The sequence below is a fragment of the Homo sapiens genome, chromosome 5, assembly GCF_000001405.40.
Source record: "Homo sapiens chromosome 5, GRCh38.p14 Primary Assembly".
Lineage (NCBI taxonomy): Eukaryota > Metazoa > Chordata > Mammalia > Primates > Hominidae > Homo > Homo sapiens.
Window position 1 is genome coordinate 37,715,030 of NC_000005.10, and position 12,689 is coordinate 37,727,718.

Below are 12,689 nucleotides of genomic sequence, written 5' to 3' on the forward strand. Positions count from 1 at the left end.
TTTAGTGGTTACCTTTATTTTATAGCACAGACTGTAAATGAGTTATTTTAGTAAAAGCATTTTCCATGAGTTTTCTGGGAATTAATTTGATAATTAGATGCCAGTTTTTAAAATGCATAATATATGCATCTGTATCAAATGTGTATGACAGGTGCAAAGCAACACTTTCCCTTACTTGGTTTTTCTGCAGCAGCCCCCACATTTATGAAAGTACTATGGCATTTTTTCTTTTCACCATTGCACTCCTATCTGGCCTATTAGAGAATTTTTCAGGATAGGGAAGGGAGAAGATTGAGAAGATTTCTGGCAAAAAAAAAAAAAAAAAAAAGACAGTTGCCACAAGTCTGGCCCATGGTAGAATTTCCTTGGAACTGGAGGAATGTGGAGGAGGGGAAAAGGAGAGGCATATGCTCACTTAGCAAGATGTGTAGAGAAAATGTCTGCCTTTAAACTTTTCCATTGAGGGGATATCTGTAGAGATCAGGAGGTGGTGATGAGTCTTAGTTATTGGAGACTGGGGCTTACTCACCATGTTTGCTTCCTGAACTTCAGAGGGATGAAGCCAAGTCTTGTGGCCCATGCATGTGGCAAGGCCATCCCAAGTTTGAGAAAAGCAAGGCTTTGGGAGAGAGTGGAGGGAACAAAGACAGGACAAATAGCCTGGAAAAGTTGAAACAATTCCCATTTTACTCTCATACTTCCCTGGCCCAATATTTTAATATAGAAAACAGTTTTTCTTTCTCTGTGAAGAATATCTTGGGCTTGTGGAAGTCTGAAGAAAGTTCTTTCTCCAGTATTTTTTTTGTTTTTATCTGTTTTCTTTTTATTTGTTTTGGGTTCACATCTTGATCTTCTTTCTTAGTGTCTGGAATCTGCACACACAAACACACACACACGCACACACACACACCCATTCAAATGTGTTGGATAGTCCCAAGGATGTCTGTAACTCTAAGACTGCCTCTATACAAGTCTGCAAAATTGTGTAACAGACTCCTTCACGGACAGGTGTCAGGCTTTTCATTTGAAAATTGTGAAAAATGCTTGTTCAGGGAATCACTGCATTAGCTTATCCATTCTTGTACTATATGACAAAAACCAAACGTGAAAAAACCAGATGGAGTTTGGTTTACAGTATGGGTCAGCAGCTGTGGAGGATCCGGAAATGGAGTTTCAACATAATCATGTTTAAGGTATAAAGTTATGAAGGCTGTTGGCTTTCTTTTAGCATGTAGAATAAGGGCGTTGTTTAGATATGTGCATTGCAGATCCCTAAGATGTTACGCAGGCATTGATTTCTTTTATAGTAACATTTGTGAACTGGGAACTAGTGGGCTTTTTAAAAAAATGATTTTAGTAATAACTCCTTTTTAATACAAACTTGCTAAGGTTTCTACTGGGTTAGGTGGGTTTGGATATGATTAAATGTCAGCTACCTTCTTTCTGCCCCATCTTTCCAAATAGGGCTTTGCATGGTTAAGTAGTAAGGGAATGAACAGTGGAGTTGGAGAAACCTGCTTATTGACCCAGCTCCTCTATGTGCGAGTTATTATGTGACCTTGGGAAAGTTACCACTCTCTACAGCCTCAGTTTCTTCATCTGTGAGATGGGATGAGATTATTAATTTTGTAGTATTTGTGAGGACTCAATTATATTAAATAATATAAAGTTCCAGTACCTAATAATTCCCTTTCTACCATGTCCTAAAATGTAAATCATTTCTCTCTTTGGTTTCCTTCTCCTCCTCCCCTTATTTGCTTCCCTGGTTCCTCTAAAAGTAAACAAAATAACCACAGAAATAAATTATTTGGAAATTTTTGTGGTCTTTTCACTTTTGCTAAGGGGTAATTCCAAAATTCCTATTTTGGAATTTTGACACTGCTAGCTCGACATCGTGCTCTCTTTCTCCCCGGCCTACCCCTCTCTTTTTTCTTTGGTCTCTGCAGAGAAGAAAAAAATCTCTCTGTTGAGCACATTAAGGTCTTGTAACTCCTTCTAGTCATGCTTATGGTCTCCTATTCCAGTTCTTGTCTCTTATTTTTGGGCAAATTTGTGGTTACCCTCCACTACCAAATTAAAGGGTTAAAATGAAAATGGGCTTTGGTTTAAAAGAATAAGCTTCATTTTGTGCTGAAATGTAAAGTTCAACTTTGGCAGCTAGAGGAAGCCATTAGTGAACCCACATGTTTTAGGAAATGAAGTAGATTAGTGTAAGAATAAAACACTTTGTCAATTTAATTAAGCAAATAAGTTTATTAAAATATGCAGACTAATTTCAGAACCTAGTTCTTTGCACTGCAGTGGCCTTCTGCCATTGGAATCTCATGATATAATGTGAGGGCTTTCTCTTTGATTCTGTAGATCTCATGTCTTGATGTTCCTTCCTGGTTCTCTGGTCCTTTTATTCAAATGTGCTCTCTATGCTTTATTTGCTGCATTTCTCAGTGACTCCTTAGGTCTGAATGTGTCACGCTCCCAGTAAAGAAGCACTTCTTCAAGAACAGGATGAAGAAAGTTTGGGGTGGTTGGTTGATCGAGGGATTGTACTCTTTCTAAGTATTTATAGCTCATCTGTCTTCTGATGTTGGTTCCTTAGGCTTCTAGCAGGCACGTGTCGCATTGTTGTTAAGCAAAGCCGGTATGTATGTTTGACAAGTTAGCAGCGTGGCAGCTCAGCTTGCTTCCCAGCCCTGCCGCAGTCTCAGGGATTGTTTGGTTTGGCAGGTAGCCAGCTCTCTGCTATAAGATGCATTTCCTTGACAGGATAAAATGTGGAGCCGCATTAGCTGCAAAGTTTACAAAGGTTAGCTAAACACACACAATAAATATTAATAAACAAAAAAGGCCCACCCACCTTTGGCTTTAAATTTTGTTTCTTCATTTCGTGTTTTAGAATCCTTGTAGTATTTGATTAATAACTGGTCTTAGGGTAATTGAGCCTTAAGTATCCTCTGCCTAAATCAGATTGCTCACTGGCCTCTCATTTGCTGCTTAGTGACTCATTGCCACAGTGCATGGGGCTCTGGAATGACTGTTTAGTTTAAGGGGTCTTATTTGCCTCTCCCTGTTTCGGCATGAAAGGAGGGTAAATATGCTTCTCTGTAAGAACATATACTAATCAGCTATATGTGTGTGTAAAGGCTCTGGAGGGTACAGGATGTGAACAGGAATAGAGGTGAGGTGTCCTTGGACTCCCTGGAAAGCAATTGGACCTTGGTCTGTTGGCTTGGGCAGTTGCCTCTCTCTAACATTTACACCCTCAGTGAAGAGGGAGAGAGTAACAGTAACCTGCTGCCCCTGGAAACTGCCTGTTTGGCTGGATGTCTTGGAATTTATCAGGCCTACATTGTGGATCTTTTCCAATTCTGCACCCTGCTCACTTGAAAACATATTTGAGAACTAGTAATCTTAGACTGCTGAGCCAGACCTCTAGAGAACCAAGAAAGAGAAATAACTCTAATACTGTGCCCTTAATATTGTCCTGGGCCATTTATGGGTGGCTGAGATTTCTGAAAGCCTTTGACAGCCGCTTTCATTATTCTGTGATTCATGTACATTCTCTCTCTCTAGGACCACATTAGGAGGAATCTAACCCTGCTACATTTGTAGGATACCTGAGTATAATAATGATATGAGGAAATCAAATTATTTCTCATGGAGTAATGATTTTAATTTGAAAATTGTCTCCAGCTCTACCTAGCAAAGCAATCCATTTAGGCATGGGTGAACTGTAGCTTTTAATTCATTCCTTTGGTGAACATTTTTTGAGCACCAGACACTAATCTAGGCACTTGGGATATGTTGCCAAACAAAACTGACTGAGATCTTTGCCCATGAAATATGTGTTCTAGTGGGGAAGGCAGACAATCAGCATCATTAATAAATAAGTTATATATTATATTAAAAGATGATACATGCTATAAAAAAAGAAAAGCAGACTAAGGGGAGTTCTGGGGCACAGTTTTAAATTGGGTGGTTTAGATAGCAATGACATTTAAGCAAAGACTAAAAGAGATGAGTCTTGGCTCAGATGGATTTCTTCTACATAGGGTTTCATAAACATGACTTCATGAAGTTATGTTTGTGACTCTCCTTATGTTTCCATATACCTGGCTGTGGCCATCTGGGAATTTCCAGTGGTCTATCTCAAATTAGTCTCAGTGGTGGAGCACCTAGAAGCTGCACTTTGTAGACCATGAGCTATTGATATACTTAATTACATCTTCCCAACCAGGAGCAATTTTATTAGGAGAAAATGTGACTTTTATATGTATGCATTATAAACTAGGTTTTACAAGCATAGGTACAAAGCAACAACAACCCCCCCCCCAAAAAATACCCAAACTATCAAATTAAATATATCTTATTTTTTCAAGTTTTTCTGTTAATATTTACTCACTATTATATTTGTTTTATCATCTTTTAGAACTTGCTAGCCTGGGTAGCAGGCACCATAGATTTGAGAAAAATTGTGGAAAGCAAGCCTAAAGTTGTGAAAACCTGCCCCTTTAACTTAATTTTCCCCCCAGCTGATGGGGAAAACACAGCCATTCTGATTTGATTTTCTCTGTACAATATCCCATTCCTCTTCAGTGGTACATAGGTTAAGAACCACTCTTCTAGAGTAAGTCTGTTAAATCAGATATGAATTAAATAAAAGTCTTGTAGACTCTTTTCAGCTTTCTCCTTAGTTCCTCTGGAATCTCAGGTAAGGGTTTGCAGCCATTTACCTATTTTTTTTTGGCCTATTTTTTTGCCATTCACATGGGAGTCAGAATTTTTATTTCTTTGTTTTTTTCTTTCTTTCTTTCTTTCTTTTTTTTTTTTTTAAGAGACAGAGTCTCACTCTGTCACCCAGGCTGGAATGCAGTGGCACAATCATAGCTCACTGAAGCCTCAAACTCCTAGGCTCAAGCAATCTTCCTGCCTCAGCCTCCTGAGTAGCTCGGACTACAGGCGCGTGCCACCATGCCCAGCTGGGAATCAATGTTCTATCAAAAAGGATCTGAGAGATTTCAAGATATTCTGTCTTAACAAAAGAGTGGAATGAGTAGAGACAAGGAACCAAAGAAATTCAGCCCAAAGTAGATTTAGGAGACGTAGTCATGATTTTCATTTTACCACTAGAACTATAAAATGCTAATATCTAATCATACCCTTTTCCCCTTTAGTCCCTATATATAGTTTGACAAGTGATAGATTATTAATAAACATTGAATTAATGCTTCCACTCATATCTTGTTCTATCAGAGTGAGTTCTATAGAACCTAGTACATGGGGTTTCTGTTTACTAACATTAGCTTCATCTTTTTTCCCTTTAATTCTGTCCACGCTATCCCTCCCACCTCTGCCCTCTTACCACAGACAAAAATTAAAAACAGGTTATAGTTCTCACTGAGAACTTGTGGTTCTTTTCAGCCCCAGAGCACCACTTATTTTCCTTACCAGTAATGAATTCATAGGATCATAACTTCCAGTGAACCTTCTCTTAAACAGCTTTTCATTTAGGTTAATGTCAAGTCTTTGTATTCTGTATCTCTGTTTTACTTCTGCTGTTGTCCTGCTGTTTTATCTCATAGATAGGGAGACATTATTAAATGCCTACAAATGTGCATTGTTTCTGAAAAAGCTTTATGAGATTTGGATCTTTGTGAACTAAAAACAATAACCACCTGGTCTCAATCTGCTGTCCAGAGGGACATATTGTATGTGTGTAAGAGCATGAAATTCGCTTCAGTGGTAAGTGTAACTGAGTTATGTGGATTTAGCATTCCATGATGCCAGCCTCACGTGGTAATGGACCTGGGAAACCTAATTTTGTGGTTTCAGGGCTGTCCAGAAAGGGAGATAATGTCAGGAAGAGAACATCTTTTTTATTTTTATGGAGTATCACCCAGATAATAAGTGATGGAATGGAATTTTACTTCAGGAACACAACTTTATGGTTTAAAAGAAAATGTCTGAAAGTTAGAGGTAAACCATCAGGATGATATTTGATATAGTAGACTAGCCATCAAAGTACCAGCAGGATTGTTTCCATTTTTATCTGGCCTCTTTAGTCAACCACTGCGCTTTTCCTTTGCAGAGTGTTGTTCGCTGCCTGTGGCATCCAAAGCTGAACCAGATCATGGTTGGAACTGGAAATGGATTGGCTAAAGTCTATTACGACCCCAACAAGAGTCAGAGGTATTTCATAAGTATTGCCTGTTTTAGATGGATGACAACAACTGGGGGGAGGGATTTCCCTCCCACCCCCGCTTTTATTTATTTCCCACTTTGATGGAGATCCACCCATTTAGAAAATGCAGCTGGAACAAAGTAAAGCCTCAAACTCCTGGTATTGTGCTTTAAAAAGGATTTGAATATTGCCCTTGATCCACACTGAATTCAAAGCGAAAGTTTCCTGGGAATTTGCAGTTGTTTAGCTGAAATGTTGAGTGCAAGGGGGAAAAACGTTCTGCCCACTTTGCATACCACCCTGGACAGAGGCATTAGCAGTGATACATGTAAGAGATTTAACAAAGCAGGGAACTAACCACTTACAGGAAATGGAATCAGCTTGTCCATTTTGCTTCTTTCTTTTTTGGCTTCTAGCAGTTTGGATGTTTGGCAAGATTATTCTCTGTCCGCAGAAAGGGACAGCACAGATACGTTTCCCCTCCACCCCCATGCCCACCCAAGTTTCAAACTTAAGCATACCACTGTATTTCAAAAGTCTGAAAACGTAACTAGAGGTTCAGTCATTTCCTCAGTTATTTCCGTTTTGCTTAGGCACAAAGATGGATATGTGTCATCACCCAGAAAAGATGGTTTTGTTTCTCTCTCTTAAAGTACAGTGACTGATAAGCTTTCTTTAGAGTAAGACTTGGTTAACTAGCATTAAAATTCACATGTGAAATTTACTGGGGTCCCATATAAACCTGTTTTAAGGTCCCACATCCTTTGAGGAAAGGAAAGCCAGCCTCTATTAATGAATATTCATTGGCCATAATTTTGCTCTGAATAGAAGCAGACAGCCCCATCTTCCTTCAGAGCTTCCTGGACTAGAGTTGGAATCCTGGCCTTATACAATAAAGTATATTTATGGTATTTGAAAACAAATAGGATTTTATTTGTTTTTTAAAAAAGAAATTAAAAATGCTAATGTACTTAGGATGGGAGTCTGTTTCACTTGAGAAAATGATGAGCCTCATTTGATAGCACCCATTTAGAAGGCACTTTCTGTGGAAGCTTTGCTTTAAGAAATTTACTTATTTGTATTTGCTTCTCTTGAAAAGGATAACTCTGTACTACTAAGGAGAAGTGCAATGTTCTAAGCACATTTTTGGTTAATCCCACACATTCTTGGGCCATAGCCCCTCGGCAACACTGCCAAGCCAACTCAGTTCCAGACACTTGTACTCTTGTATTTGAAAAGTGGACATATGCCATTTGGGGTGTAGACCACCCAGGTTGCTTTAGTCTGAGACATAAACTAAAATTTTAACCCTGTGACCTTTAGAGTGAAAAGGTTGGGTAATTTTATTATTTAAGATCTTAAAATTTCACATTATTCCTATAGGTTTTGTAAACTTGTGTCCTGTTGCCCTGTTACCTCTCCAACCCTCTTGCTTGTTAATAACCACTGACTGACAGACTTGCTTTTCCATAAGTTTAAGCTTTTATCACTGAGAGCCCATCTGTTGCCATCCCTCAGAAAGTCAAGTACTTGTGTAGATGGAGTGCATGCACAGAGTATGTTCCTGAAAGTATCTCATGTTTTCAACATGAAATTTTCTGTTTCTAAGACCAAGTAAAGAAAATAATTTGCTTTTACACCCGTTAGGGGAGCAAAATTATGTGTGGTTAAAACCCAGCGGAAGGCAAAACAAGCTGAGACTCTAACTCAGGACTACATCATCACCCGTAAGTCGTTAACATGCCTCTCAATCATGCATCTCTCTTCTACTCTCATGTGGTTTTGATTGCATAGCTTTAGAGACAGAGAAAGCCCTCAGAATTCAGGCATATATTACAAAATTGCCCATTCATGTGGATAGGACTACGAGTCATGTAACAGCTAACCTCTGTGGCTTCTGTGACTCATCACAGGGACAGGGTTATTTCATGCAGCTTTCAACCCAAAAGGGAAAAGCCTGTTCGAGTCCAATACATTACTTTATAGCAGTTTTTTCAAGAGTAACAGTCTATTCCAAGTGTGAACAAGAAAGAGTGCTGGTCTTGGAATCAGGAGGCCTGGGTTTGTCCAGTTCCACCACTGAGTGGCAATGTGATGTTGAACAACTTAACTTTTAATCAGGGAAGTGTGGCGACCAGAGGAAGGGTCTCTTCCAGCTTTCTCTGAAATTCTATGACCATGTGCTAGACTGATCCACAGGAATTTGTATATAAAATTAACTACCTGGGGTATGAGTAGAAAGCTTACTAGGGCAGAGTGGTTTCTCTCACGTATGTCACACAACCTCATTAATCTGGCAGATGTGTGTTCCCAGAGCCACAATCTCAAACCTGCAACAGGTGACAGCTAGGAAAGAAATAATGGATGCTACAGCGATTATCATTAGTGGATGGCCCTGTGGACTTTATCAGTGACTCAGTCTGGAGCCCAGGGGGCGCTGTACTGCTGGGTTTTCTCACTGGTGGTGGGTCTCATATGAGACCAAGTCCCTTGGAGCTTATGACCAGTAAAGAGATCCCATGACACTTTTTGCAAGAGTAGAAGTGTTAAAGTCAGTGTCATAACTAGTCTAGCTCATGTAATTACATGCGGCCTACTTAAATTCCTCCAGTCGTTTGAAGTGAAAAGCTATTTTCCCCCTCCTAAAAATACTGTTGTGTTGTGTTGCCCAACTGAGTGACGGGTGGCTATGTTTCTCAGCTCCCCTGACTCAAGGCAGGCATGTTTTACTGGTGAGTGATATGGTCTGGCCTCAGTTGGCAGTATAGGTAGAAGGTAGGAGGGGATACTGGAAGAGGTTTTGAGGTGTTATAGACATTTTATTGATATTATAAATTCCCTTTAACCTTTCCCTTCCTTCCCCTGGTCCCCCGGGAAAAGTTTCTTTTAAAGGGGGTTTAATCTGCACGTAAGAGTCAAAAGAAACTGCTAGTACTTTTCTGGGGCAAAAAAAGGGAGTTATTTAATACTTCCCCTAATAACTCTTTCCTTTTCCCCTAGAATATTATACTGTTTTCCTTTTTAAATTCTTATAATCTTTTATATTCTGAAATTTAATTTTGACATTGAGTAAACAGTAACAGCAATTGAACGCATATTACTTTGGTTTTTATTTTCTTATTTTGCTACCATATAGCAGGAGGGATAAGGCCCCATTAAGTCCCCATGCCAAGAGATTTAGGCACCTCTTGCATTCATGGCAACCTTTATCCCAGTTTCAGTGGGATAAGTGTTCCTCCCTTCCGGTTACTCAGTGTTGTCAACTCCTCCTGAGAGGTGGTCACATTTCAGAAACGTGTGAAGTGATTCCAGTGTTTATGAGACATCTGAGGAAACTTCAGGGCTGACAGCAAGCTGTTGGCATTATTCACATTTGGGTCCTGTAAGAAAAAATAAGAGGCAGTCCCAATATGTGTTTCTTTTCAAAACCACGGTAATTAAGTTTTAACTGCTACCCATGGTTTGGGAGATGGGGAGCCTCACCGATGTTTCCATGACAATATTTGACAGTATTTCCTGAGTGCTGTTAGCTGCCAGGAGAGGTGACCAGTGAGTCTGGTCTCAAGCAAAATTGGCTAATTGGTTACAGTAAGACTGTCTTTTATTATCAGATCAAGACTGTCATTATGACTTCCATTTCATCTTTCAGTTAGTCATGCTTTAACTATGTTTTTGGATGGGAAGGTTATTGTTATAATGAAATTTTTCAAATGTGACTTCTTGTAGCTCATGCCTTGCCTATGTTCCGTGAGCCCCGCCAACGGAGTACAAGGAAACAGCTGGAGAAGGACAGACTGGATCCCCTGAAGTCGCATAAACCTGAACCTCCTGTAGCAGGCCCAGGTGACTGTGATCCAGCTAGTGACCTGCAGAGGGGGTTCAGAGGCAGGGTGGGGTAATTGATATAAAATTGGGAAGGTCTTTTGGGCCTGGATGCTTCTTTGTCTTCAGAGAGATTTTACTAGTGTTTTAAAAATGTTTTCTTTTTAGTAACAGAAAAGCTGATGCAGAATCCAGATGTATAAAGCTGATAAAAATTGAGCTTCTATACTGAAATAGGGAGGAAGACTGGGGCCCTTTCTGCTTGGTCTCCAACTAGAGTTTTCCTAGCTGGCCTCAGGGGAACTCGGGGGCTCAGTGGACCTTGGAACCCAGTGTTAAAACCACTGCTCTCAATATTGGCTTAATGTACAACACTGGGCACTTTGACCAGAATCCAGGCTGGATTAGGTTTCACACAAGGCAGAATGTGGCCATCATTTAGATTTGTGTTGATATCACTAGAAGATGAATAAAAGTCTTTAGAGTTTTTGAGAAGTAGGTACCAGAAGAAAGCCAAGCAGCACTGGCTAATAGTATAGCACGTACCTTGACTAGAATTTCATTTTCTGTTATCATCTGTGTAGTTTCTATTTGGTCTGCTCCTTCAGCATAGAAAACATTTTGCATATCTATCTTAATTATTTTTTTCATTTTTTTCTAACACCGTCCTAACTAAAGTTTCCAAAAAAGATTTTTTCTTGGATTATTGTGAACCCTTCTAACTATGCACCTTAGTCTCAAGTCACTCCCTTTCTCCCACCTCACTTCTATTTGTCTTATACACAGCTTTAATCCCTAACTCCATTAGCTTTTCATGTTGCTACAGCCTCCAAACCTTCATAAGCTTCCCACTGTCCAATTGTCTTTCCAGAGATTCAAGGTTCTGTACAGTCCAAATCAAATCTACCCCTGTAGCTTTACACCTTACTTCTTTCCTGCTCTGATCTTTTGAGATTACTGTTGGTTCAATCCTGTCCCCAAATACCCATTGAACTTTCTTCTTTCTGCATTTTTGTACTTAACCCATTCTGCTTATTGAAAATAACCTTCTTTACCTCCTAAGCTTTCACAAATTGGATCCATCTCTTTCATAAAGACCTGTTCAACCACCTGAGCCTGAAGTGCTATCTTCCTCTAAGTGCCATAATAGTTACTGGCCATACAAATTATCTCACAGTTAATTATTTCCTGCCTTATTTAGTTTCTTCTTATCTTGATTTATGAAATTAATCTTTTAGTGTTATTTGGCTTTTCATATGTTTATTTTATCTTCCTAAGAAGTCCTACATCTTTCTGAGTACCAGTCACTATACTAGCTGCTAGAGATCTAGTGGGGAACAAATCCCTGCCCTTAAAGAGGTTCCTATTTCATAGGGAGATTATAGTACAGCAGAGCAACATGAATCAGTATGTTTAGCTTATTTGTTTTCTCTTATAATACTCAGCAAAGTACCTGTAAGGGACTTGGAAGATGCCAAGCCCTAAGATATGTTTATTTAAATAGCATCTAATGAATATTGTTTATTTTTATTAATTGAATTCTAAATGTTGATGCCAGAGGAACTTTTTAAAGCATATAGATGGCAAACTATCTGTAATTTTTTCTATATTGGTATCATTCTGTAAGTTAAGCAACTGAGACATAACAAAAAAATCTCTTCCTATTTAAAAGTGCTATCGGGAAGTTGAGGTTTGGTGATCTCTTTGGTTCTGATTGTCATAAATCTAAGCTGAAAGGATGAAATTTAAGTACTCTTGAGATTTGTGCTCAGATAAGTACAGTGTACACAGATATACCTATGTATCCTCATGCTCATTCAGTTTCTAATTTGGTTTTTTTTCTTTTGCAATAGGTCGTGGTGGCCGAGTTGGAACCCACGGGGGCACTCTCTCTTCCTATATTGTGAAGAACATTGCTTTGGACAAGACCGATGACAGTAATCCTCGGGAAGCCATTTTGCGTCATGCCAAAGCAGCAGAAGACAGCCCATATTGGGTTTCTCCAGCATATTCCAAGTGAGAATATAGCTTTTTAAAACAGGAAAATTGTTATGTTTAATGAATTGGGGAGAACATAACAATGTTGTTTTTGAGTTCTAACTTCTCTATTTCTTATTTCATACTTAGATATGAAAAATAGGCCAGGTACTCATGGTCTTTAAACCTAGGCATTTGTATGTATCATAAGACTCTAAAATCATGAATTTTAAAACTAGGCCCATTCCATCAGAGTTGTAGCATAGTGTAAACCATTATGTGAAGCCCATCCTGCCCATGATTAAAACAAACAACAAACAAATCACTGCTTATGTGCATTATCTTAGTTGACGAGGGTTAAAAGCAAATGAAGCAGTTTGTAGGTCTGTTATTATGAACTCACTTTTATTTATAGAGCTGTATATGTAAGTAACACTGCAGAGTAGATCCTGCCTGCTCGTATTCCCTCAGACAGCTTAGCATGGATGAATAGGGAGTGGTTCCTAAAGCTATCAAACCAGCTACATTTACATTAAAGATAGGTACTATTATAGAATTTTCCGTTTTTATTTTTATTTATTTATTTAGAGTCAGGATCTTGATCTGTTGCCCATGCTGGAGTACAGTGGCATGATCATAGCTCACCGTAACCTCAAACTCCTGGGCTCAAAGGATTCTCCTTCCTCAGCCTCCTGGGTAGCTAGCACGACAA

At 39.1% G+C, this 12,689-nt stretch overlaps 1 protein-coding gene across 5 annotated transcripts in view, besides 2 other annotated features; it reads left to right on the forward strand.

The window, feature by feature from the left end:
• WDR70 (WD repeat domain 70) overlaps positions 1–12,689 on the forward strand; it is a 374,118-nt gene that overhangs the window by 335,712 nt on the left and 25,717 nt on the right. For all 5 annotated transcript variants that reach the window (NM_018034.4, NM_001345998.2, NM_001345999.2 and 2 more), the window contains 4 exons: positions 6,086–6,186; positions 7,826–7,905; positions 9,905–10,021; positions 11,854–12,016. In NM_018034.4, coding sequence (NP_060504.1) covers positions 6,086–6,186; positions 7,826–7,905; positions 9,905–10,021; positions 11,854–12,016 — 461 coding nt within the window. The remainder of the gene's footprint in view (positions 1–6,085; positions 6,187–7,825; positions 7,906–9,904; positions 10,022–11,853; positions 12,017–12,689) is intronic.
• Positions 2,558–2,852: a silencer, noted in NCBI's record as "tiled region #9268; HepG2 Repressive DNase unmatched - State 5:Enh, and K562 Repressive DNase unmatched - State 9:DNaseU". NCBI's record gives its function as "represses a minimal TATA promoter and a strong SV40 promoter by Sharpr-MPRA in HepG2 and K562 cells {active_cell/tissue: HepG2 | K562}" and the evidence as "EXISTENCE:reporter gene assay evidence [ECO:0000049][PMID:27701403]".
• Positions 9,003–10,202: an enhancer, noted in NCBI's record as "CDK7 strongly-dependent group 2 enhancer chr5:37724134-37725333 (GRCh37/hg19 assembly coordinates)". NCBI's record gives its function as "activates an origin of replication core promoter dependent on BRD2, BRD4, P300/CBP, MED14 and CDK7 cofactors, with strong dependence on CDK7, by STARR-seq in HCT116 cells {active_cell/tissue: HCT116}" and the evidence as "EXISTENCE:reporter gene assay evidence [ECO:0000049][PMID:35650434]".